At 38.9% G+C, this 23,629-nt stretch overlaps 1 protein-coding gene across 5 annotated transcripts in view; it reads left to right on the top strand.

Moving 5' to 3' along the window:
* Positions 1 to 23,629, top strand: part of STAT4 (signal transducer and activator of transcription 4) — a 122,021-nt gene that overhangs the window by 88,011 nt on the left and 10,381 nt on the right. For all 5 annotated transcript variants that reach the window (NM_001243835.2, XM_047445604.1, XM_047445603.1 and 2 more), the window contains 7 exons: positions 666 to 824; positions 1,765 to 1,857; positions 4,817 to 4,876; positions 5,367 to 5,384; positions 5,475 to 5,568; positions 9,052 to 9,096; positions 22,438 to 22,521. In NM_001243835.2, the coding sequence (NP_001230764.1) occupies positions 666 to 824; positions 1,765 to 1,857; positions 4,817 to 4,876; positions 5,367 to 5,384; positions 5,475 to 5,568; positions 9,052 to 9,096; positions 22,438 to 22,521 (553 nt within the window). The remainder of the gene's footprint in view (positions 1 to 665; positions 825 to 1,764; positions 1,858 to 4,816; positions 4,877 to 5,366; positions 5,385 to 5,474; positions 5,569 to 9,051; positions 9,097 to 22,437; positions 22,522 to 23,629) is intronic.

Here is a 23,629-nt window from a genome sequence, read left to right as displayed (position 1 = left end):
GGTTGGAAGTCCCTTCCGTGTCCATTTCAATCTTACTCTTTCCTAGGCTTCTGGCCCACACTGCCACCTCCGTTTCTGAGGTGAGATCACCACATAGTGAATAAAATTCCAAGCAGTTATCAGAGGCAAGCATTTCTAAATATACCTTACTCTAAAGAGAGTCATTGATCACTTTTGGCTAGTACTTAGGACTTGTAAAAATATATATTGTGTGGGAAGATCGGTTACATATGTTTTTCTTTCAGTATGCTTACATAAGAAAACATTAATCATGGCATTTTTTTATGGCTTTAAATTTGCTCTTTTTTTGCCCTTTAGTGAGCGCCACATTTTTAACATATAGATGCTTAATAAGCTTAAACAAAGAATGATTAAAAGGGATTTAGTTCCAAATGTTGATAAAATTTCATAAATGATGACATATATAATTGAAGGTTTAAATAAGAAAACATTGAAAACATTTAACATATGCATATTCAAGAAAAAAATGGGTTAGGAAAATAAAAATAAAAACTGTCTCTAACCTAAATCAAATTAAGTGATTCATTTAATTAATTTAATAATTACTTAATAATTTAATGTTTATTAACTATGACCCATTGTTACAATGCTTTTTTATTATTAAGTGGAAAAACTATCTTTGATTTTCATTTTCTGTTCAATAGCTTTACACTATTGGCAGAAAGTCTTTTCCAACTGAGAAGGCAATTGGAGAAACTAGAGGAGCAATCTACCAAAATGACATATGAAGGTGATCCCATTCCAATGCAAAGAACTCACATGCTAGAAAGAGTCACCTTCTTGATCTACAACCTTTTCAAGAAGTAAGTGAAGTGCTATCAATGGCATCCTCCATTCTGTGAAGTAAGAACACCCTTCCTAAGGTTTTGGTGTTTAGGTGGAAGAGTGGCAGGGAAGTATTCAACAACGAGCCTCAGGGAGAAGTGAATAGAACCCCAGAAAGTTTTAGAAACCACATTTCTACTCTTCACTATTTATTCATCAACACTTCTCTCACCAACTGGCTCAGTTTTCCACAAGCTAAGTCATGTCATTCACCTACAGCTCAGTTTTCACATCTTAGAAAAAATTTCAAGGGTTTTTTCTTATGTGCATATCCATGAAATGAAGGATGGAGAACATTTTCATGTTTATAAGCTAAAGAAAAAATACTAATATGTACCAGAAATCCTAATATTTAGTCCAAAAAAAGTCATGAAATTTATTTTTGGCCAGGTATGGTGGCTCACACCTGTAATCTCAGCACCTTGGGAGGCTGAGGCAAGGGGTTGCTTGAGCTCAGGAGTTGTAGAACAGCCTGGACAGCATAAAAAGACCCCCATCTCTACAGAAAAATAAAAAATGTATCCAGGCATGGTGGCACATCCCTATAGTCCTAGATACTCAGGAGGCCAAGGCAGGAGGATCACTTGAGCTCAGGAGGTTGAGACTGCAGTGAGCTATGATCGTGCCACTGCACTTCAGCCTGGGCAACAGAGGGAGACCCTTCTCAAAAGAAAAAAAAATTACTAAATGGACTGGGGCTTTTATTCATGACTCAATTATAACAATTAAGAATCATTTACTGCTGTGAAATGATTTATAAAAAGTCATTGTAAAGATTTGAGTTTAATTGGGGGTTTGAATATCTTCTAAGTGTAGAAAATTTGGACTTTGAGTGGATAGCATCCTGTTCCTCTGTGGTTTTCAGTCTCAATATTTTCAGTGTTTTCAAATGATGCGCTTTATTTCCTTTTCATCTAGCTCATTTGTGGTTGAGCGACAGCCATGTATGCCAACCCACCCTCAGAGGCCGTTGGTACTTAAAACCCTAATTCAGTTCACTGTAAAACTAAGGTAGGCAAAAACATTTTCTACTATTTCGTGTGTTTGTGGAGCTATAGTCTCTGGATGATCAAGGCCAATTTCTCTCATTGTGGCTTGCATTCAGCTGTTCTTTATTGAACCATCTGCTGTGTGCCCAGCTCTGAGCTTGGGGAAATACCCACAGAAATGTGAAGATGAGAGCCCTGCTTGTCAAGAGCATGACAGTGCAGATGAGGACATAAGGGATATTAGCCTGAAAGTATGGAATCATAATATCAGGCACAATGAAATTAATTGCTGAAAAGGTTGACTTGAGAAAAGACTGGAGAGATTGGGAGAGGGGAGGAGGATTGTAGGAGAGTGAGAATACAGAAATAATGGCTTCCTGGCTCTGTCTGGTAATCGTGGGGAGCAGGGAAGAGACAGAATTGAGAGGACAGATTGGGGACAGATTCTGGAAGGCTTTGAATATCCTATCCAGGAAACACAGTGGCACATTCATCTCCTGAGATTACCCAGTAACTGGCTTATTAGACTTTCCACAAAAACTCCCAATACCACAGTTTTCCATATGTCCCTATTGTGTACCTGATTTAAAGACATAACTTTTGTGTTATTGTTGCTTTCTCTGTGAATTTGATCCTATTAGCATTAGCGTCAAAACTTACAGTTTTCCCTAATGATGCTGAGAACAATGAGTTTGAGTTCTTACTTTCAAAGGTTCTCATCATGCCTGAAACTCCAAGCACTAAAGTTTTAAAGGCCTAATCACTAGGTCACCTCTGGAAAGCTGAAACCACAGACTAACAGGTCAAGAGGTGGTGATGCCATGGTACAGAGCAGTTTAGGGTTCTATGATAAGGTTGCTGATCACATATCACTATTGGAACTCCATTTTTAAAGAGAAGGCATTTGTCTTCGGTTTGCATTTTTAAGACACCATTAACTTCTTAATCAGTTTCTTTGTATGAATTTTGCACCAAGATTTAAGAACTGAAAACAAAAGGCAGAGGCCAGGTTCCTTTTTAAATTGCACTGTTGGCCAGGCATGGTGGCTCACGCCTATAATCCCAGCACTTTGGGAGCCTGAGGAAGGCAGATCACCTGAGGTCAGGAGTTCAAGACCAGCCTGGACAACATGGCAATACCCCATCTCTACTAAAAATAGAAAAATTAGCTGAGCATGTTGGCTCATGCCTGTAATCCCAGCTACTTAAGAGGCTGAGGCAGGAGAATCGCTTGAACCCAGTAGGTAGAGGTTGCAGTACACTGCACTCACGCCACTGCACTTCAGGCTGGGCAACAACAGCAAGACTCCATCTCAAAAAATAAAACAGAATAATAAAGTAAAATAAAAAATAAGCATTCTTCTCAAAAATTGTTCCTTCCTCATTCCGACATCTCTGTATAACTCGGAGGAGAGTGAAATAAGATGGAGAAGTGGTGGACATTCTACTTTTCCTTGAGACACTCCTATAGATGATATAGTAAGTCTAAGATGCTCTCTGGGACAAAAGGGGAGATGAGTAGGGATTGCCTAGCAAAAAAATTCTAAGTGGAAGAGGCACTCTGAATCAGCACCACTTGCATGTTGTGTGAACTGATGGCCAGGGACATAGAACATTAGCCCCTGGTTGAAGGCTCTGTCTTCCTCTTCTACCTATTGGGTACCCATCCTCCTCCTCTGCACCCTATTCCCCACCATCTTGATAGGTGATCCTTTACTCAAGGTTTTCCTAAAACCCCTCTTTGCCATACTTTTGCATCCTCCTGTTTCAAAAGGAAGAATGACCTTGGACTCCATGGCACTTGTCAGCATCTTGCAGTGAATCAGATCCTTCCTGAAGTGGTATAAAAAGGAAGGTGGAGAGGAAAAACATCTGGCCTGATTTTATGTGACTATGCCCCCTTCTCACCATTCACCACCAATGACTGCACACTCAACATACTCCAGATCCTGAACCAATCTTGTGCCTTGTACAGGACTTTTAAAGAGCCTTTGCAACATTCTACCCACCCTTTTGTTTGGGCTGCCCATGAGCTATGATTTCATTTCTCTAATGCCAGTGAGCTGCTTATCGCCATATTCTCTGTTTTCCATTTGTGTGCCTGGACTCCCTCCTTTTATGTAGAGCCACGTCCACGTTTCTCCCTTCTGCAGTCTTTGCTACATCAGTTCTCTAGTACCTAAGGGTGTACTGCATAAATATGAGGAGCTCAGTGCATGCTGAGTGAATGAGCAAAGTTTAGGATGAGGGCATGAGTAAATGAATGAATGTGTGAGGGATTGAATGACTATCTCTGAAACTGCACTGAACCCACAGGTAGGTTACATCACAGGACAGAAATCTGAGGAGCTGGAGAAAGCAAAAGAATAAAGGATGGGCTGACACCAGAAGGAATTAAAGGAATTTTTATACTGAACTTCAATTACTTGTTCATTTGAAGTTTGTTTTTTTAATGAACGTTTTTGCTGTTACTTAAATATAGTGTTTTGAAAGTGTTTCAAATGTATTCAAGTTGGGATTTTCCATATTTTACTACAGTTCTGTCTTAGTATGTTCACCATAAAACACTTATCATTAAAGCTCACAAAGTGCTTTTTTGTAATATGAGGATAAAATGAAGCCATATAAGAATTTTTTTATATCTGTACATTTAACCCACATTTGAGCTTTAGCCAAAATATATAGCTTTTTTTTTTCTGACCTGGCCAACGTATTATCCAGCAAACATCAACTGAAGCAATATGGAAACACTTCCAAATGTTTGCCAATAATGCTATTAAGTGACTGATGTCAACATTAGTTACATGGCAAACTAAAGAGGCATTATACATTTTTAAAACACACTAACATATAACTGTAGATAATGTAAGGTTTATTTATATGCATATTTCATAGTATATTTAAATGTTTAAATATAAAAAAGGGTTTTTAAACACTTTTAATTTTTATCTTTGATTTTTTTTATTGATATCTCTTTCCAGGCTACTAATAAAATTGCCAGAACTAAACTATCAGGTAAAGGTTAAGGCATCAATTGACAAGTAAGTTTTCTAATTTCGTTTTGAATTACAATTCCAAATGTAAGACTTTTAAAAATGAATGGCCTTTATTTTATAGAATAATTTTGAACTTTTAAATTTACTTATCTAACATTATATAATGAATGTACTTCAAATATTTGACTTTGAAGTTCAAACATTTAACAAAATTCAATGGTATCCTAAATTTAAAATTTTACTATAAAAACTTGAAATCAATTTTATATACTATCCTTTAAAGTATCATAGAGACCGGGTGCGGCGGCTCATGCCTGTAATCCCAGCTACTCAGGAGGCTGAGGCAGGAGAATCGCTTGAACCCAGGGGGCAGAGGTTGTAGTGAGCCAAGATTGCACCACTGCACTCCAGCCTGGACGACAGAGCGAGACTCTGTCTCAAAATAAATAAATAAATAAATAAAATAAACTATCATAGAAAGTTATTCCTAGATCTATTAAATAGCTTGTTTTAAAGAATCTTCTTGGTTTTACAGGAATGTTTCAACTCTAAGGTAAGACATTTACTTTGTGGAAACTTTGTTGCTGCTCTTGTAAATTTATTTTACCTGAGACCATGTAAATAGCTAAGATTTCCTCTCCAGCAACCGAAGATTTGTACTTTGTGGAACTAATGTCAAAGCCATGTCTATTGAAGAATCTTCCAATGGGAGTCTCTCAGTAGAATTTCGACATTTGGTAAGTTTGGCAGTAAAGTTAAACAGGCTTTTTTTTCCCCAAAATCAGACATCTTTACTAATACGCCTTATAATTCAGTATGTTTTGTGCTTAAATATTTCTTATTTGAAATTAGGAACCGGCCGGGCACGGTGGCTCATGTCTGTAATCCCAGCATTTTGGGAGGCCAAGGTGGGTGGATCACAAGGTCAGGAGTTCAAGACCAGCCTGCCCAACATAGTGAAACCCCGTCTATACTAAAAATACAAAAAATTAGCCAGGCATGGTGGCAGGCGCCTGTAATCCCAGCTATTCTGGAGGCTGAGGCAGGAGAATCACTTGAACCCGGCAGACGGAGGTTGCAGTGAGCTGAGATCGTGCCAGTGCACTCCAGCCCAGGCCACAATGCGAGACTGCATCTCAAAAAAAAAAAAAAGAAAAAGAAAAAAAAAAAAAAGAAAAGAAATTAGGAACCATGCTGAGAAATAAAACATGCCATCAGTGAAGAATTAAAATGGTAGAAAGAGCACTGAACCTTGACTCAGAAGGTCTGAGTTCTAAACAATGAAGACATAGTACCTAAGTATACATAGTAGTTGGTCAGTATATTTTGCTGATAATTACAAAGATAATCTGTCTTAAAATGGAGAGGTGTTACACAATGGAATATATTATTCAGCCATTGAAAGAATGAAATTGTGTCATACGCAGCAACATGGATGGAATTGGAGGTCATTATGTTAAATGAAATAAGCCAGGCACAGAAAGATAAATATTTCATGTTCTCACTCATGTGGGAACTAAAAAAGTAGATCTCTTAGAGGCAGACAGTCGAATGGTAGTTACCAGAGGCTAGGAAAGGAAGCAGGGCAGGGGGATAAGAGAAAGTTGGTTAATGGATACAAAGATACAGTTAGATAAAAGGAATAAATTCTGATATTCAGTAGCGTAGAAGGGGCCGGGCACGGTGGCTCACGCCTCTAATCCCAGCACTTTGGGAGGCTGAGGCAGGCAGATCACCTGAGGTCAGGAATTCGAGACCAGCCTGGCCAACATGGTGAAACCTCGTCTCTACTAAAAATACAAATAGTAGCCCGGCATGGTGGCAACTGCCTGTAATCCCAGCTACTCAGGAGGCTGAGGGAGGAGAATCGCTTGAACCCGGGAGGCGGAGTTTGCAGTGAGCTGAGATAGCACCACTGCATTCCAGCCTGTGTGACAGAGCAAGACTCAGTCTCCAAAAAAAAAAAAAAAAAAAATAGTGTAGAAGGGAACAATAATTTATTGTATATTTTTAAATAGCAGGAAGAGAAGAATTGTAATGATCCTACCACAAAGAAAAGATAGGTTACAGATATCTCAATTACCCAAATTTGATCATTACACACTGTATACATGTATCAAAATATCACATGTACCACAAAAATATGTACAACTATGATATATAAATACAGAAGTACAAAGGCACACACACACACATACACACATGCAATAATGGATAGGCATTCCTGGTTTCATTTTTACATCTCCAAAACCATGTCTGGCTAAAAGCGCTTTCATTTTAGGAGGCTAGCTTGGGGAAATAGGATGTTCCTTGGTATAGCTGCTGTACACAGTTCACCTTGTCATGTCTAGAAAGCTCTGACCCAGCCTCATCCTGTTGCTTCTTGCTTTTACCACTTCCTCTTGACCTAGAGTTCTCTTTCTGCCTTCTTTCTAATTCTGCATAATTCTTAAGATTCCCAAAGACCCTACTATTTTTCTCGCCAGAAACCATGTTACTCCTTCTGCTTATTAACATTTAGCAATTGCCTCACTGAATGTTTGGGCGCCACTGAATCTGCCTCAAAAAGTCTACTTTCTAAAAGATAAAATGTTAAAATGATAAAAGTCTACTTTCTAAAAGATAAAATGTTTCTAAAAGATAAAATGTCTACTTTCTAAAAGATAAAATGTTTGGTTTTTAGTATTGAGGAGTATGTTTTGTTTTGTTTTTAATCCTTCCTGTCAAATAAACTGCCAAATAAATAAAATGTAATAAAGAATAATGTATTATAAACATCCTTGTAACTAGCACTCTTTTTTGTTAGGCTCAATTCCTACCATCCAGGAACTTTCAACAAGGGGCCATGTTTAGTAATAAGTAAAGTAGGAAGAGCCCTTAACTTAGAAATGTCTGTCTCCCAAAAAAGTCACATGGAAAAGGAAGAACAAGGAACACACCAAAAATCAGTTAGGTCTTTATTTCAGCAGGTACAATATATAAAATAACAAAACCTCAGTTTTTACAGTGGTCTTTTGCTCTTGCAAAGCGTTTTCACATTGGTTATCTTCTGCATAATAACTTTGCTTTTTAATACAAAAATAAATATAGAAAATAAAAATCAGCTGGGCGTGGTGGCTCACGCCTGTAATCCCAACACTTTGGGAGGCCGAGGAGGGTGGATCACAGGGTCAAGAGATCAAGAGCATCCTGGCTAACACGGTGAAATCCCGTCTCTACTAAAAATACAGAAAATTAGCCTGGCGCAGTGGCTCACGCCTGTAATCCCAGCACTTTGGGAGGCCGAGGCGGGTGGATCACGAAGTCAGGAGATCGAGACCATCCTGGCTAACACAGTGAAACCCCGTCTCTACTAAAAATACAAAAAAAAAAAAAAAAAAAAAAAAAAATTAGCCAGGCTTGGTGGTGGGCGCCTGTAGTCCCAGATACTCTGGAGGCTGAGGCAGGAAAATGGCATGAACCCTGGAGGTGGAGCTTGCAGTGAGCCGAGATTGTGCCACTGCACTCCAGCCTGGGTGACAGAACCAGACTCCATCTCAAAAAAAAAGAAAAAAAAGAAAAATTTTAAAAATTGTCACCTATAATTCCACCACTTTGCAACGCTATTAACTTCTTCATTTTTATAATTTCATTCTTTTTTCTAAAATAATTATATATGTATTTTAAAAGTGGGATCAAATAATACACACTATAAAATTTGTTTTCTGCCTCTTTTTTTCATTCAGTAATCTACATCAATGCACATTTATTTTGTGTCAGTAAGTCTTCTTCCCCTGTAATGTCATTTAATAGCTTACTATGCTATATGGTACACACTGCCCTGTAGTTTATTTTTCTAGTCTTCGTTAGACTTGGTTTCTCAGGGATTGGGAATCATCACCTACAGCTTAGCTAAAATGATGCTTTCCAGGCGCCAAGGAGTGCTGTATAGATTCTGAAAGTTCCCAGCATGATTTCCTTTTTCGAAAATGTTGACTGAAAGCTAAAGTCTTAGTGATATGCCAACTCCAAGTTTCTAAAGTGGCATCCCATGGGGTGAGACAGGAAACTCCTCTCTGTCAAATCTGGGCAGTTGTGTCAGGTTTCAATGAGTTTGAAAATATGTTGCTGTTCTAGAAGTCAAAACTGTGGCCAAGAAAATGACCGCAACAGGTACGACCAACTTAATATGTAGCTGATAATGCTTTTCCATCTAAATATTGTTGTTTTCTTTTACAAAGCAACCAAAGGAAATGAAGTCCAGTGCTGGAGGTAAAGGAAATGAGGTAGGAAATGTTTTCTCCTATAGAATTTTTCTGGAAACAGATCTTATAATATCTTATTTTTACAAAGCTTTTAAACTGCTTGACTTCATATAAAATCAAATTCATGTTTTTCTCATTATAGATGTAAAGCTTGATAATTGCAGACAATATGAGGAAGTTTTTCAAAAAGAGAAAATGAAAATAACATATTATATGTTATCAACACCCTCCAAAGAAAATAACTATTAACATCTTGGTATACATCATTCCAGTCTTTTATTTATCTATATATTACTTTAAAAATATATGATACTCATTGCTTCATAGCCTGCTTTTTTCACATAGCAATGTATCTTTTTTTTCTTTCTTTTTTTTTTTTTTTTTGAGAAGGGTCTCACTCTGTTGCCCAGGCTGGAGTGCAGCGGTGAGATCTTGGTTCACTGCAGCTTTCGCCTCCCAGGCTCAAGTGAACCTCCCACCTCAGCCTTGCAAGTAGCTGGGACTATAGGCATGTGCCACCATACCTGGCTAGTTTTTGTATTTTTCGTAGAGACAGAGTCCCACCATGTTTCCCAGGCTGGTCTTGAACCCCTTGGCTCAAGTGATCCACCCACCTTGTCTCCCAAAATGCTGGGATTATAGGCGTGAGCCACCGTGCCCAGCCCGGAGAACAGTTTTCCATAATTTTAAATACTCTTGGAGAACATGATTTACATTGCTTGCATTACATTACATTTTATAGGTGTGCCATAGTTTCTTTAGTCAGTCCATTATCAAGAAATATCTTTGTCATTCTTCATTTTTGTTCACTCATTTTCTCACATATATGAAGTCAGGCTGAAAAATTATGATATGTGGGGTAAAAAACAACCCTATTATTTTGAGATATCAATTACCTCGCTCTCTAATGTTTGCATTTCACTAGACAAATTGAATGAAAGAACAAACTGATGCAGTCTGAGTACTCCGTTGAGTTGATGATAGAGTAGTCAAATCATGAACTGGACATGACCTTGGAGAACATCTATTGAGCTGACCTCGAAACTAAGGCATAAGTCAATGACCTATATATTTGGAACTAGAAAACCTGGGTTTGAGTACATGCTCTGCCAGGGCCTGAAAATGTGACGTTTGGCAAATGAACTGATGAGGAAATACTGCATTTTTTTCCTCTAAGAGAGCAGGATAGTCATGCTCAACAGCCCGTGCTCAGAGGTGCTGCAGGTGTAAAACCACCTACGTGATGCAGTTTTGAAGCAGTGAGGTTTATTTCTGGGGTGGTTCATATGGATCCAAACTCTTGGCTTTATAGTCACAGCTCCCATGAAAAAGATCTTTGAATTGTTTGGAGGAAAAGCACTTTATAAATCCAGCATCCAATGACATCCAATTTATCACACCTCACAAAACCATAAAGATCCATCACAAAAGATTTAATGCCCTACCATTTTGCCCTCCAAGAATTCTTCATTCCCTTAATTGTGTCTTAAAGATCATTTGCCAAACATCATAGCCTCACCAAAGATGAGCTCAGTCTTCCAGGGTAGAATCGCTGCTCAGGGCACAGCTCCCTAAGCAGGTCTCTGCAGTCAAAGAAATCACAGGAGCAGAGTTTTGGGGTTTAAGGAGATTCTAGTAAAACGATTGAGTGGAAGATATTCTTCCCAGCTTATAGAAACCCATAAAGGTTTTCTAAACTTCCTAGTTAAACATTGGCACATTTTAAATAAAAGCTCATTTCACACATCTCCTTGGAATTCTGGCTAGAGTTGCAACATTTCATTCAGTTTGACATCTTGAGTATTATTTATGAATCTGAACAGACTAAGCATCATTATCCTGAACTTGTCTTAAGTAAAGCAAATCAAATAAATCCAAATAGCTCAACTCTTGTAGTATATTGTCATCTTTATGAATGTAAAATGAAAATCTTCACTTGAATTTCCCTAGAGACGGAAATCTAGGTAAATCATCTTCCACTGTAGAAAAACCAACCACTGTGTTATTAACACTGTCTACTTATATTGCCTTCAATTTATTTCCTCTTATTTTCTGATGAATAGCAAAATCATACAGTCGTATCAGAATGATTTTATTTCTTCCCTTTTTTTCCAGGTTTGCCGAATCGGGTTAATTTTATTTTAAGCTATTCTTTGAGCTCCACCTGTTGGCAGAATTTTAGTATGACTCCTAGGTACATTTAAAAACAAACCACAGATTGAACCGTGTCTTGTGTGCAGCAGTAACAGTTGACTAGTCATGAAGTACATGAAGGAAGATAAACCGGGAATCAGGGGCTTGGCCATTCAGTAGGGATGATCACACAAAGGTTAGGAAAGAGTGAGGAAAGAACGGGCAATAAAGTGAAGTTCATAAAGTCATGAGGCCAGGGATTGTGGTCACAAATTACAGGAAAACAGGAAGCTAGAATATCGTAACCTCGTTTTCAAGTTTCAAAAAGTTGCTATTGCTTATCTGTGAGCACCTGTAGCCTGCTAAGAATGTCTTCAACAATCCTCGTGTGGCATTTACTATATACTGGACACTAAGAGCTTCACTAATACTGATTTCTGTAACTCTTGCAACAAGACTGTGAAGTAGGTACTATTAGCTTCATACTTATTTCAGTTATGGAAACTGAGGCACAGAGTGGTCACACAGCTTACTCAAGATAGTGGGGGCAGTTGATGGCAGGGCCAAGATAAAACCGTGGCAGTCTGATCCCGTGTCCCTGCTCCTGGCCCCTCTGCTATGCTGCCTCTGGGTCGCAGAACCTTCCCTGGGAGAGGCGAGCTGGTTGGCACTCCTACTGCCCCGTCACCTCACCCCATCTATCTCACAGAGTGTCTGCACCTCACCCACCTGCTCCGAAATCATGTCTGTCTCACACCATAATTTAAAATAATGCTTCCTCAGAAAATGTTGTTGACCTCTCTTGTCTACTGTGTCTCCTTTTGCACTTGTGTCGTGCCTCAGTGGCATAGTGGAGTTAGCAGTGTTGGTTTTTGCCTCTTCAGGCAATCTGAGCTTGCACAAGCCACTTAGCCTCTCTAACTCCCAATTTCCTTATCTACAAAATGGTGCTAATGTTAACCTACACTTCTAAGGGTTGTTGTGAGGACTGAATGAGCTGTGTGTGAGTCAGTGGTGGTGGGCTGTGTAGATGTTGGTGATGGCATTTACAGATCAGCCTCCTCTCGAGGGAGCAGGTGTCTACACAGATGGGAAAACTGGGCTCTAAAACGTGATACCTAACTTCAGACAACTGCTGATCTTTCTCCTTCTCTGCTCACCTGTCAAGTGCTCTGCTGGAGATGTGGTCCCTTTCAGGGGACCCTGGCACTTCCCTCTTCCAGCTCCAGTTCCTTGAAACCTCAGGTCACCATTTGTGTATGCCCCTTTATGGGATTTCATGTCTGGAATTCCTGCTACCACTCCAATGCTCTTCACCTCCATCACACACACACCCACACGCACACACACAATTTTGGGTCGCTCCATTCTACTTTTTGGTTGTAAGACTTTGTATCAGATAGTTATTAAATGATTGACAATGGACAAAGATGTCATAAATGATAGTTTCACTAAGTTGCCATTCCAGACCTCCCTAGATTTGCAGCACCCTGTGACTGTTTGAGATTACCCAAGAAGAGCTGAGCTGTCAGGACGTACAGGGGCTCCTGGCTTTAGGATTGGGTGAAAGGAAGAAGTTGCACAAGACCCATTTTCTTCCCAGAAAACCCAGAGATGCCAAAGAGGTACCTCAGGAACCCCATTTGCCCTGGGGGTTGGGGAAATGTGGAGCTCTGGCTCCCTCATGCCTGTTTCTATCAAGGCAGCTTTATTTTATATATTTACAGATGGAAACTCTGGTGGGAAGTTTACTTTCAAGAATATGTACCAAGGTCAAAAAAAAAAAACATTTGGACTCATTGGACTAGACAATCTCTGAAGTCCCTTTGACTAAGATTCTTTAATCCTCAGAAGTGCAACATAGGGTAGGAGCTTTAGATTTTTAAAAATGAATTTAACTTTAAGAATTTGCTTTGGAATTTCACAACATTCCTTGAGGAATCTGTAGACACGCTATCATAAAATCAACTTTAGCAATCACTGCCTTTCTCTCCACTCTATTCTCTCCTGGGAAGAGTCAATGTGAATAAACAATTTCATCACCTAGAAAGTGGCCAGACTTTGAGGCCATCAATCTGTTCCTGTAAAATAAACATTCCCAGGAAGCAACCTTTCCCTGGAGGTACTTATCTAGCAGGGAGCCAGCTAGAGAGTGATTATTGAAATGTGAAAACTGTTTGAATAGAGAAGCTGGAATTGCAGTTTCTCCAGTTTGCTCTTTGTCAGTGGGCTTTAACTGATAAATGACAGTTTTAGCCACAGACTGAGGTGTTAGGTAATTTTGTTTATGTGGTGGAAAGTCATGAAGCACAATGAAGCTATTAGTAAAGCCTGGGTGACTTGAGTTTCATTTAACAAAATAGCCAAACAGATGTTCTTTCAAGGTTCAGTGTTCTCAAACACAGACGCGCTACTCACACCCCAGCTAGCCCAAGCATTTGCACAGCAAGTTGATTTCTCGCTGAACTAATTTAAAGAGTTGCAACACTTTTTTGAGGGAGAAATTGTACAAAAATATTACTAAAACCTTAGACTTTGTAGAATGCAGCAGAGGGCTTTATGAGCTAAGCAGTGCTGTCATTTTACATTCCTCTCTTCTGATTCTGTGATTCTGTGATTAAAGGCTATCTCTCATGTGATTAGACCACTGTTTCCCTCTCTTCTTATTGTTTCCCAGGATCTAACCCACTGTCTAGCACATAATAGATGCTCAATAAATATTCACTAAATGAAAGGGTTATTTTAATTGTTTCTATTCCACATAGTTTTCCATGGGGGACATTACAATAAATTATGGATTGTTAAGAGATGACCAAGAAATTTGGATGAAAATCACCCTATATCCCAGTCATATTTTTCTTAGCAGAGGTTTCTGTCAAGTTAAAAGCTATTACCATTTGTTGGCCAGGCATGGTGGCTCACGCCTGTAATCCCAGCACTTTGGGAGGCCGAGGTGGGCAGATCACGAGGTCAGGAGAGTGAGACCATCCTGGCTAACACAGTGAAACCCCGTCTCTACTAAAAAATACAAAAAATTAGCCAGGAGTGGTGGCGGGTTGCCTGTAGTCCCAGCTACTCAGGAGGCTGAGGCAAGAGAATGGCATGAACCCGGGAGGCAGAGCTTGCAGTGAGCTGAAATTTCGCCACTGCACTCCAGCCTGGGTGACAGAGCGAGACTCCATCTCTCAAAAAAAAAAAAAAAAAAAAAAAGCTATTACCATTTGTTAATATATTCTTGGTTTCTAAGGTGTATTATTAGACACTGAGCAGAGGAGACAGAGAAGACTATGGTGACATCTAGACCTACCTTTCATCGGATTGTATTTTTTTTTTCCAAGTGAAGCCCTGGTTAAGTTGGTTGTCCAGTTTTCTAGTTTCTTAGCAGATTTTCCAATGGGTATTTTTCTTTAGAAGTACAATACAGTCAATCCAGCTATTATATTCAGTGTCATATAATGTGATGTACCATATAATGTAAATATCATTAATATGGATATTTTGTATCTGTAATCATCTTGGATGATTAGGATGGCTTTGATACAAACATTAATGGTGCATCTTTTTTTTTTTTTTTTTTTTTTTTTTTTTTGAGATGGAGTTTCTCACTCTTGTTGCCCAGGCTGGAGTGCAGCGGCGTGATCTCAGCTCACTGCAACCTCCGCCTCCAGGGTTCAAGCAATTCTCCTGCCTCAGCCTCCTGAGTAGCTGGGACTACAAGCGCCCGCCACCATGCCCAGCTAATTGTTTGCATTTTTTTTTTTTTTGGTAGAGACGGGGTTTCACCATGTTGGCCAGGCTGGTCTTGAACTCCTGACCTCAGATGATCCACCCACCTCAACCTCCCAAAGTGCTGGGATTACAGGCGTGAGCCACTGTGCCCGGCCCTAATGGTGCATCTTATCTATGATGTTTTTCCATTCTGTGAGGAATGGAACCTGCGAATGTGAGACTGAATAGTGTTCTAGCTTAGACTACACTGATGAAATAATGAAGACTATGACAGTCATGCAAGCTGTGAAAATTAATAATGCTTTATTTGGTCAGAGCGTCTTTCCTCCAGTCTTGTGTATAGTATGTCAGCTTCCTTGCTGGATTTTGTTCTAAATGTGCCTCACAATTGCATCAGAGATTTAAAGTAAACATTAGACATTATTTTGAATCACTGAGAAAATAATCACCCTCTCACCACCCACATTTCAGTTCAGTAAAGTATTATATAAAGCGTAAAGTCTTTTTCCAAAGGTAATGGACAACACTGAGTGTCATTGCTCTGTCTGTGGAATCCTGGTTTCTCACACTTTTAAGACCCTGATATTTGGTGGTGAACACACAGGTTCCATAACTCAAAGAGCTGAGGAAGCTATCAGTACTGAATTATCGTATGTATATTTATTCATAGAAATTAAACTATAGACCAGGCGTGTTGGCTCATGCCTGTAATCCCAGCACTTTGGGAGTCCGAGACAGGCAGATCACTTGAGCTCAGGAGTTCAAGACCAGCCTGGCCAATATGATAAAACCCTGTCCCTACTAAAAATACAAAAATTAGCTGGGCATAATGGCGCACGCCCATAGTCCCAGCTACTCAGGAGGCTGAGGCAGGAGAATCGCTTGAACCCGGGAGGTGGAGGTTGCAGTGAGCCAAGATCATGCCACTGCACTCCTGCCTGGGTGACAGAGCAAGACTCTGTCTCAAAAAGAAAAAAAGAAATTAAACTATAGAGGCTGGAATGTGAGAGTGATGGGACCTATAAGAGGAAACACTAAACTTTTTTCTACTCTTACTCTCCATACCTCCCTTCTGGTCACCTAAATATGTGTGGGGATTTCTCTCCACTAACAACCAGTTCTCCAGCAGACACAAACTGGGCATCTACAATTTAACCCAATTCTAACACTCTTTACCTTAACCCACAGGCTAAGGACTTAGTCCCACAAGTCTGCCCCCAATTCAGATGCCCATTGCAAGTCCCAGGTTGTGATCTGCACTTCTGACCAACCAGCAATAAATTGAGGGTTCCCACAATTCCCTCCTCAGGTTCAATGAATTTGCTAAAGCAGTTCACAAAACTCAGGGGAACATTTCACTTATATTTTCTGGTTTACTATCAAGGATAGTACAAAGAATACAGATGAACAGCCAAGTGGAAGAGATGCACAGGGCAAGGCATGGAGAAGGGGTGTGGAGCTCCCATGCCCTGTCCAGGTGCGCCACCCTCCTAGCACCTCCATGTCTTTAGCAACCCAGAAGCTTCCCAAAATCTGTTCTTTGAGGTTTTTATGGAAGCTTCATTACATACAGTTCATTACAAAGTTGATCACCTTTGCCATTGTAGGTGAATTCAACTTTCAATCCCTCTCCCCTTCCCAGAGGTCAGGGAGTGGGGTAGAAGTTCCAACTCCTAATCACATGATTGGTTCCCCTAGCAACCAACTCTCATCCTGAGGCTATTTAGAAGCCCACCAAGATACACTTCATTAGGACAGAAAATGCCAGAAAATTCCAGGAATTTAGGAGCTCTGTGTCAGACAATCCTATCACTAAGGAAATTACAAAGGTCTTAGGAACCCGTGTCAGGAACCAGGATCAAAGACCAAATTTTTAGAACAGAAGACTCACCTGGCATCTCCATCTAGAAAGGTCTTAGGAGCTCTGTCTCAGTAACCAGGTGCAGGGACCAAATATAGATTTCTTATTATATCACAATATCATAGCACCTCACTCCGAAAGTTTTCCTTCAACCATCCTCCAGCTGCAGTCCTCCCTACAAAGAAAGTCTTCTGTGGGGTTAAGGCAATGTGCTCACCCAGAATCCAGGACCCCAGAATTCTTAGCCCAGAAGACCTCAAGCCCACTTCCAGGGTCTGTGTAGGCCTCTCCAGGTCTACTCTCCCAAGCACAGATGACACCTTCAGTGCAAACATATCTAGGCACAGGAGAGACCTAGAGGCCACACTGGTCATGCGAGGCCCTTCACAGAGGTAGAAGCAAAGGGGACAGGCAATGGCTCAAGATGGCTGTGCTATCTTTACCCATGCCACCATGTTCCAGTAAGACTTCAAGGAGCTAAAACCTGGCCAATTCGGTTATGTGAAGGATATGTCAAGGCAGGAGGCTAGAACATATGTTAACAGTTTGTTAACTTGATTGATAATGGTTAAATGTTTTATATACAGTATTGGGTCTCTATCTGTGCACTTGCCTGAGGCCTCTCAAATGTTCTGCACCATTGAACTCAGAGATAATGTGAAAGGCACCCCCATTAGTGAACATGAAGTGGAAGTTGTAGATTCTTCAGTTGTCTCGTGTTTTGCATAGTGTAAGCATCCCCTCCCTAGTGGGCAGTGAGATTTTCTATTGTTCAAAAATACACCTTCTTGGTGCCTATACTCAAGACAACTAGTCCGTCTCAAGCGCAACCAAAGAAAGAGCAACTTATTTAACATAAAGGGGCTGAGGAAGAGGAACTGGCTGTTTGATGTGTTGACGTGCTGGGAGTACTTTTAGGGGTGGTTTAGGGATTTTTAAGCAGAATGTTTATTAAACATAACTTTCTACTAACCCAGTAAGAAGTGATTCCACCCTTGTCAATATAACTATCTGCAGGCAATGTAAGGTATCACAAAGATCTACTTCCTTCTCAATAACGAATCTTAAATGTAGCATTCTCATTATCAAGGAAGTCTTCCCACATAATCACAGAATTGTTATTCATATCATCACATTAGACTGTTTTTATTATTTCTGATTTCAAATGCAAACAGGATTCTGACTTAGTAATGCATATTTAGTGTTGACCTTCCTTTCTTTTCAGGTGACCCTGCCACCTCCAACCCCCCACCCTGACTTTTCTGGTGTAGATAATCCTACTTGTTCACATGTTCCCATGGCTCATTTTATAAATTGTTGAAGCTTTATATCTCCAAATTTTCCACCTCCTTTTTGAGATTAAACACAATGAGGATACACACATTGAGAATAATTCCTCCCAAATTCCACCCAGGATTCTTGTTAAAATGCAGAGTCTGATTCAGTAAGCCTGGAATGAAGTCAGAGATCCTGTTTTTCTTACAAACTTTTAGGCGATGGCAATACTGCTGGTCCTTTTTTACCTACTATAAAATTTCATCAGGGACTAACTGCAATTTCCTACTTCTTTCTATGTCAAACTCCTCCCCAGAGGTGATTATTTTTTGAGCTGTAAATATCATGCTAATACTGATATCTCTTGATTTTTTTAAATTTTATATGTCTAACTTCTGATTTTCTATAAAAGGTTAAGCTATGTCTTTCTTATTACAGCTCTCCATATGTAGAAATTCTGCCCCATCTTCACAATATCATTATATAACATATTTTCGTTTACTCAATGTATTCGATGTTTACCTTACTATGATTATATAAAAATTGTTAACAGCTAAGCCATATAGCATACTATGATTGTATTTCCATTCTTGTATTACTTTTAGTTTTCTCTGGATTTAATAGTTTCCCTGAGTTTTTTATTTGATTAATTTACATACTTGTCACTAATTAAGCCCCAAACTTTCCATCAGAACTAGAAAACTCCTTACAATTTGGTCAAACATGTCCATCTATGAGTTCCTTTCTTCCTTTTTTCTTGGCAACATCGCTCTGGGAGCACTCTATCTTCTGGCTCCAGTCCTGGCTACTTGCCCTCTGATCCTGTTGTGCAATTGTGGGGTAGTTGTTTTTTGTTTATTGTTTTGTTCGTTTGTTTTTGAAACTCCCTTTCACCGTTATCCTAGGGAGTCCCACCCCCTTCTCCTGGCTGGGTTCATGTCTTCCTCTTTCTTAGGTTACTGTCTCCTTTTTATTGGAGAGACTCTTTCAGTAGTTTCCAGAGAAAAAGTACTAGGGAGCCAAATTTCCAGAGGACTTGCATATCTGAAAAAGTGTTTCCCATCCATAGTTGACTGATAGTTTGGCTGGATATAGAATTCTGGGTTAGAAATCATTATTCCCCCAAATTCTTAAAGCACTTTTCCATTGTCTTCTACTTATCTTGTATTCTGATTCTTAATCATTTATAAATGCCTTTTTATTCCTGCACTCCTGAAACTTTTAAACTGGTTTCCTGCAATTTTACAGCAATGAGTTTTGGTGTGGTCCTTCATTTATTTATTGTGCCAGCCATTCATGGGTCCTTCCAATTTGAACATTCATGTCCTTTACTTTGAGAAGTTTTCTTGTATTATTCATTTTTATAGACTATTGAAAACATGTAAAAACATAAAGAATAATAGCATGAACACCCATCAAATAGCTTAAAAATTCAAACTTTGCAAATATAGTTGAAGACACCTGGTACCCCCACCCCACCCCCGCCTTTAATCCTTTTCCTCTCTGTACCCACCCACCTCCCAATAACCATTGCCTTGAATTTTGATGTTTATTGTTTTCAAGAATGCCTTTATACTTTTTCTATGAATGAATATGTTTCTATATACTTTATATTATTCTGTATTATAAATTTAGATTTTACATAAATGGCATCCTTATGTATATATTTTATCACAACTTGCTTTTCTTGCTCAACAAAATATTTTCTGAGACTCATTCCTACGTTGATTCATGTTGCTGTGGATCATTTATTCCAACGCTGTATAGTTTTTTGCTCTATAAATATACACAGTATAGCTAGCTATTCTCCTATTGATGAATCATTTTAGCATTCTAAGCAGTTCTACTATAAACATTCTTCAATTAACATTCTTCTACATGTCTTTTTTTTTTAATGAGTGCAAAAAATCTTTGACCTATATATATTTGGTAGCAGATGAGTCAGAATCAGATGATTCAACAAGAATTGTTACGTATAGGTAATGTGCATCTTCTACTTTTCTAGATACTGAGGAATTGTTCTCCAAAGTGATTGTAACAATTGCATAAGTGGTATATAAGAATTACAATTTGTTTATGTCTTTGACATTTCCTCTACTCCATTTTCTCTGTTCTCTTTCCAGAACTTGTGTTAGTTTGTTGCTGCAGTTCATATATTAATTCTTTATTTGCTATCTTTTCTATTCTATTTTTGACGTCTTTGTGGGATTTTTTTGTTTGTTTTACATTCTGGGAAATTTCCTCTACTTTATGTCCAATCTTTTTACTGACTTGTCTATTTCTCTTATTATATTTTAAGTGGTTCTTTATTATTTTCAGAATGTTTCTTACAATAATATTCTATTCTTGTTACACTGATGTAATCTTTGTTTTATATAGTTTTTAAAAAGTGTTTTAATGTGCATTTTCAAATATATACAGGAATAGAGAATACGGCCGGGCGCAGTGGCTCACGCCTGTAATCCCAGCACTTTGGGAGGCCAAGGCGGGTGGATCACCTGAGGTCGGGAGTTCGAGCCCAGCTTGACCAACATGGAGAAACCCCATCTCTACTAAAAATACAAAATTAGCCAGGCATGGTGGCGCATGCCTGTAATCCCAGCTACTCAGAAGGCTGAGGCAGGAGAATCACTTGGACCCAGGAGGCGGAGGTTGCAGTGAGCCGAGATTGTGCCACTGCACTCCAGCCTGGGCAACAAGAGCAAAACTGCATCTCAAAAAAGAAAAAAAAAAAAGAGAGAATACAATGAATGAATTTAAGCATCACCTAACTTCAACAATGATTAATATTTTGCCTATCTTATTTAACCTATTTTTCACCTATACATACATTTTTCCTGGAGTTCTCAAATTCTAGATAGTACAGTATAATATAGATACTTCAGCAGGTATCTTTAGAATATAAGAAATGTTTAAACCTAACCACAATACACTTATCACAAAAACCAAAATAATAATTTTTTTAAAATGCTTCCTTAATAAAATCCTATTTTTTGTTCAAATTCCTCTATTGTCTCAAAAAAGGCCATTTGACAGTTGGTTTGTTCAAATCAGTATCTAAGCACTATCTTCCCATTACAAACGGTTGATCTGCGCCTTCAACATGCCATATATTTATTGAATAAACTGAGCTGAATACAGTAGACTTTTTTCACTGTTTTTTTATTCTTTTATTTATTTATTTATTTTTACTTTTTGCTTTTCCTCTGAGTTTTTTGTTTTTGCATTCTTATTTCATGTGAAAGTCTTTGTCAAATGCCTGATGATCATTAGCTTGCTGTTAATAATTAAGAGAAGGGCATTAAAAAACAGCCTGAAAATTCTATGTGCGTGTTGAGAACTGTAGACTTAGGGTGATTATTAGAATCTGGCTGTTTCAAAGGGGTGTTGGAGGACGGTGTTGGGTATAGAAGGCAGTAGCTGTATGTTACCTCCCTTGGTCTGGCAAACTTCCCAGATACCTTTCCAGGAGCTTTTAAGCCTGGCTCTAGATGTCGGAGAAGGGGCAAGCATGGGCTTAACCGTAAACTTTAACAGGACCTTCCACTCTTTAGCACACACAGCACCTAACCCCTGACTGCAGCTTGACCTTGTTCCCAGAATGTAGAGAGCCTCTGTAATTCCTCTGACTCATCCACTCCAAAGAGCAAACCTCCCTCCTGTGCCCAGGTCTGGAGGGGTGGAGACCTCACTGCCTGAGCTGGGGCTCTTACAGCACATCCTGGTCTGCAGTCTTCTTTTCTGCAGCCTCAGGGAGCTCAGTGCTTTCAACCTCTGGGTTCTTTCTTCTACCCTTACTCTACACTCCCCTACCTTTCACTCAGGGATCTAGATTACAGTTTTACTTTATTGGAAAGTGAATAAAACTCCAGCTATTACCTTATTGGAGTGTCTGGAGGGAACAGAGGAAAATACATGTACTCCACCTACCATGTTAAACCAGAAGGAGGTCTTGCATTCTTTTTGAACAGATTCATTGTGACACTAAGACTTGTATCTGTATACCTATGCATATATGGATTGCTTTTATTAACATTTGGTAAATCAAAAGTACCAATTTTCAAACATTAAAATAAGGAAAAACTTGTCTAAATTTCAACTGAAAAAAAACTATGCCAGAATTTTTAAAGCCAGAAATTATCTTGTTTTGAAGACTTAAAATCATTCTGTTTGGGGAAATGAAGATTTTCCAAACTGTATATAACTTTTAAAACAATAAGAGGGAATGTTCAATAATAGAGACTGTTTGGGGGTATTTACTTTATTAATTTATTAATAAATATATTAATTTATATAGAAACAAGTCTTCTATTAGATAGTGAGTATGCATTTGTGAGGTAACAATTTATTTCTCTCTTCCTTAGGGCTGTCACATGGTGACTGAAGAACTTCATTCCATAACGTTTGAAACACAGATCTGCCTCTATGGCCTGACCATAGATTTGGAGGTAGGTGTTTCAAGAACATACACTATTTACTAATGGCATTTGCAAGAATTGGTCAGCATTAATAGATGTAAGCTCAGTCTTTTCTAGGTTTTAGTACATTCCATATTCATTATTTTGTTTTAATTTAGAAAGTCAATATGTCAAATATTCACTAGTTAACATAATATTTTGGTTAAATATATATGATAAAAGCTTGTGGGTAGCTGGGTGCAGTGGCTCACATCTGTAATCCCAGCACTTTGGTAGGCCAAGGTGGGTGGATTGCTTGAGCCCTGGAATTTGAGACCAGCCTGGGCAACAGGGTGAAAACCCCCACCTCTACTAAAAATACAAAAATTTGCTGGGTGTGGTGGCATGTGCCTGTAGTCCCAGCTACTCAGGAGGCAGAGGCAGGAGGATTGATTGAGCCCAGGAGGTGGAGGCTGCGGTGAGTGCTGATCATGCCACTGCACTCCAGCCTGGGTGACAGAGTGAGACCTAGTCTCAAAAAAATAAATAAATAAAAAATAAAAGAAAATAAAAAGCTCAAGAGTATTACGAACTTTATATACATTAAATAATTTGTTGCTCAAGTTCTTGTTTGTTTGTTTTCTGGGATTTCCTGAGTCATGAACACTCAGTGGAAAGCCTAAAGAGAAATAAGTATCCTTGAGCTTATGTCATGTAGTGATATATTTTCTTTTTTTTGTAGTAATATATTTTCAAAAATTTAACTTTACATAAAAACTCACAGAAGGAAGATTTATCTAACATAATGAGCAAAGACAAATAATAGGAACATTACAGTATGTTGCTTTGATCCTCATAAAACAATCACCACTAAACTCAAAGAAAGAATAAAGAAACTTTTGGAATTAAATTGAACATGAATTGACTATGCGCTCCTTGAAGGCAGGACACCGTGAATGAATCAGTGCATGAATGAACAAACACAATCTCACACACCCTGAATATGATCCTATTGTGGAGTATATTGTTTTAGAATTCTGCCTTTGCTCTTTTATCTTAATGATGGTAATATGTTTGCAAAAGCTTTCATAGATTCCTTCCTCACCTCCTTTCCCTAAACCTCTGTTTTTATGAGTTGTTAAAGTTCCTCAAATGGGTA

The sequence above is a fragment of the Homo sapiens genome, chromosome 2 (assembly GCF_000001405.40).
Source record: "Homo sapiens chromosome 2, GRCh38.p14 Primary Assembly".
Lineage (NCBI taxonomy): Eukaryota > Metazoa > Chordata > Mammalia > Primates > Hominidae > Homo > Homo sapiens.
This window is presented reverse-complemented; position numbering and strand designations above follow the sequence as displayed.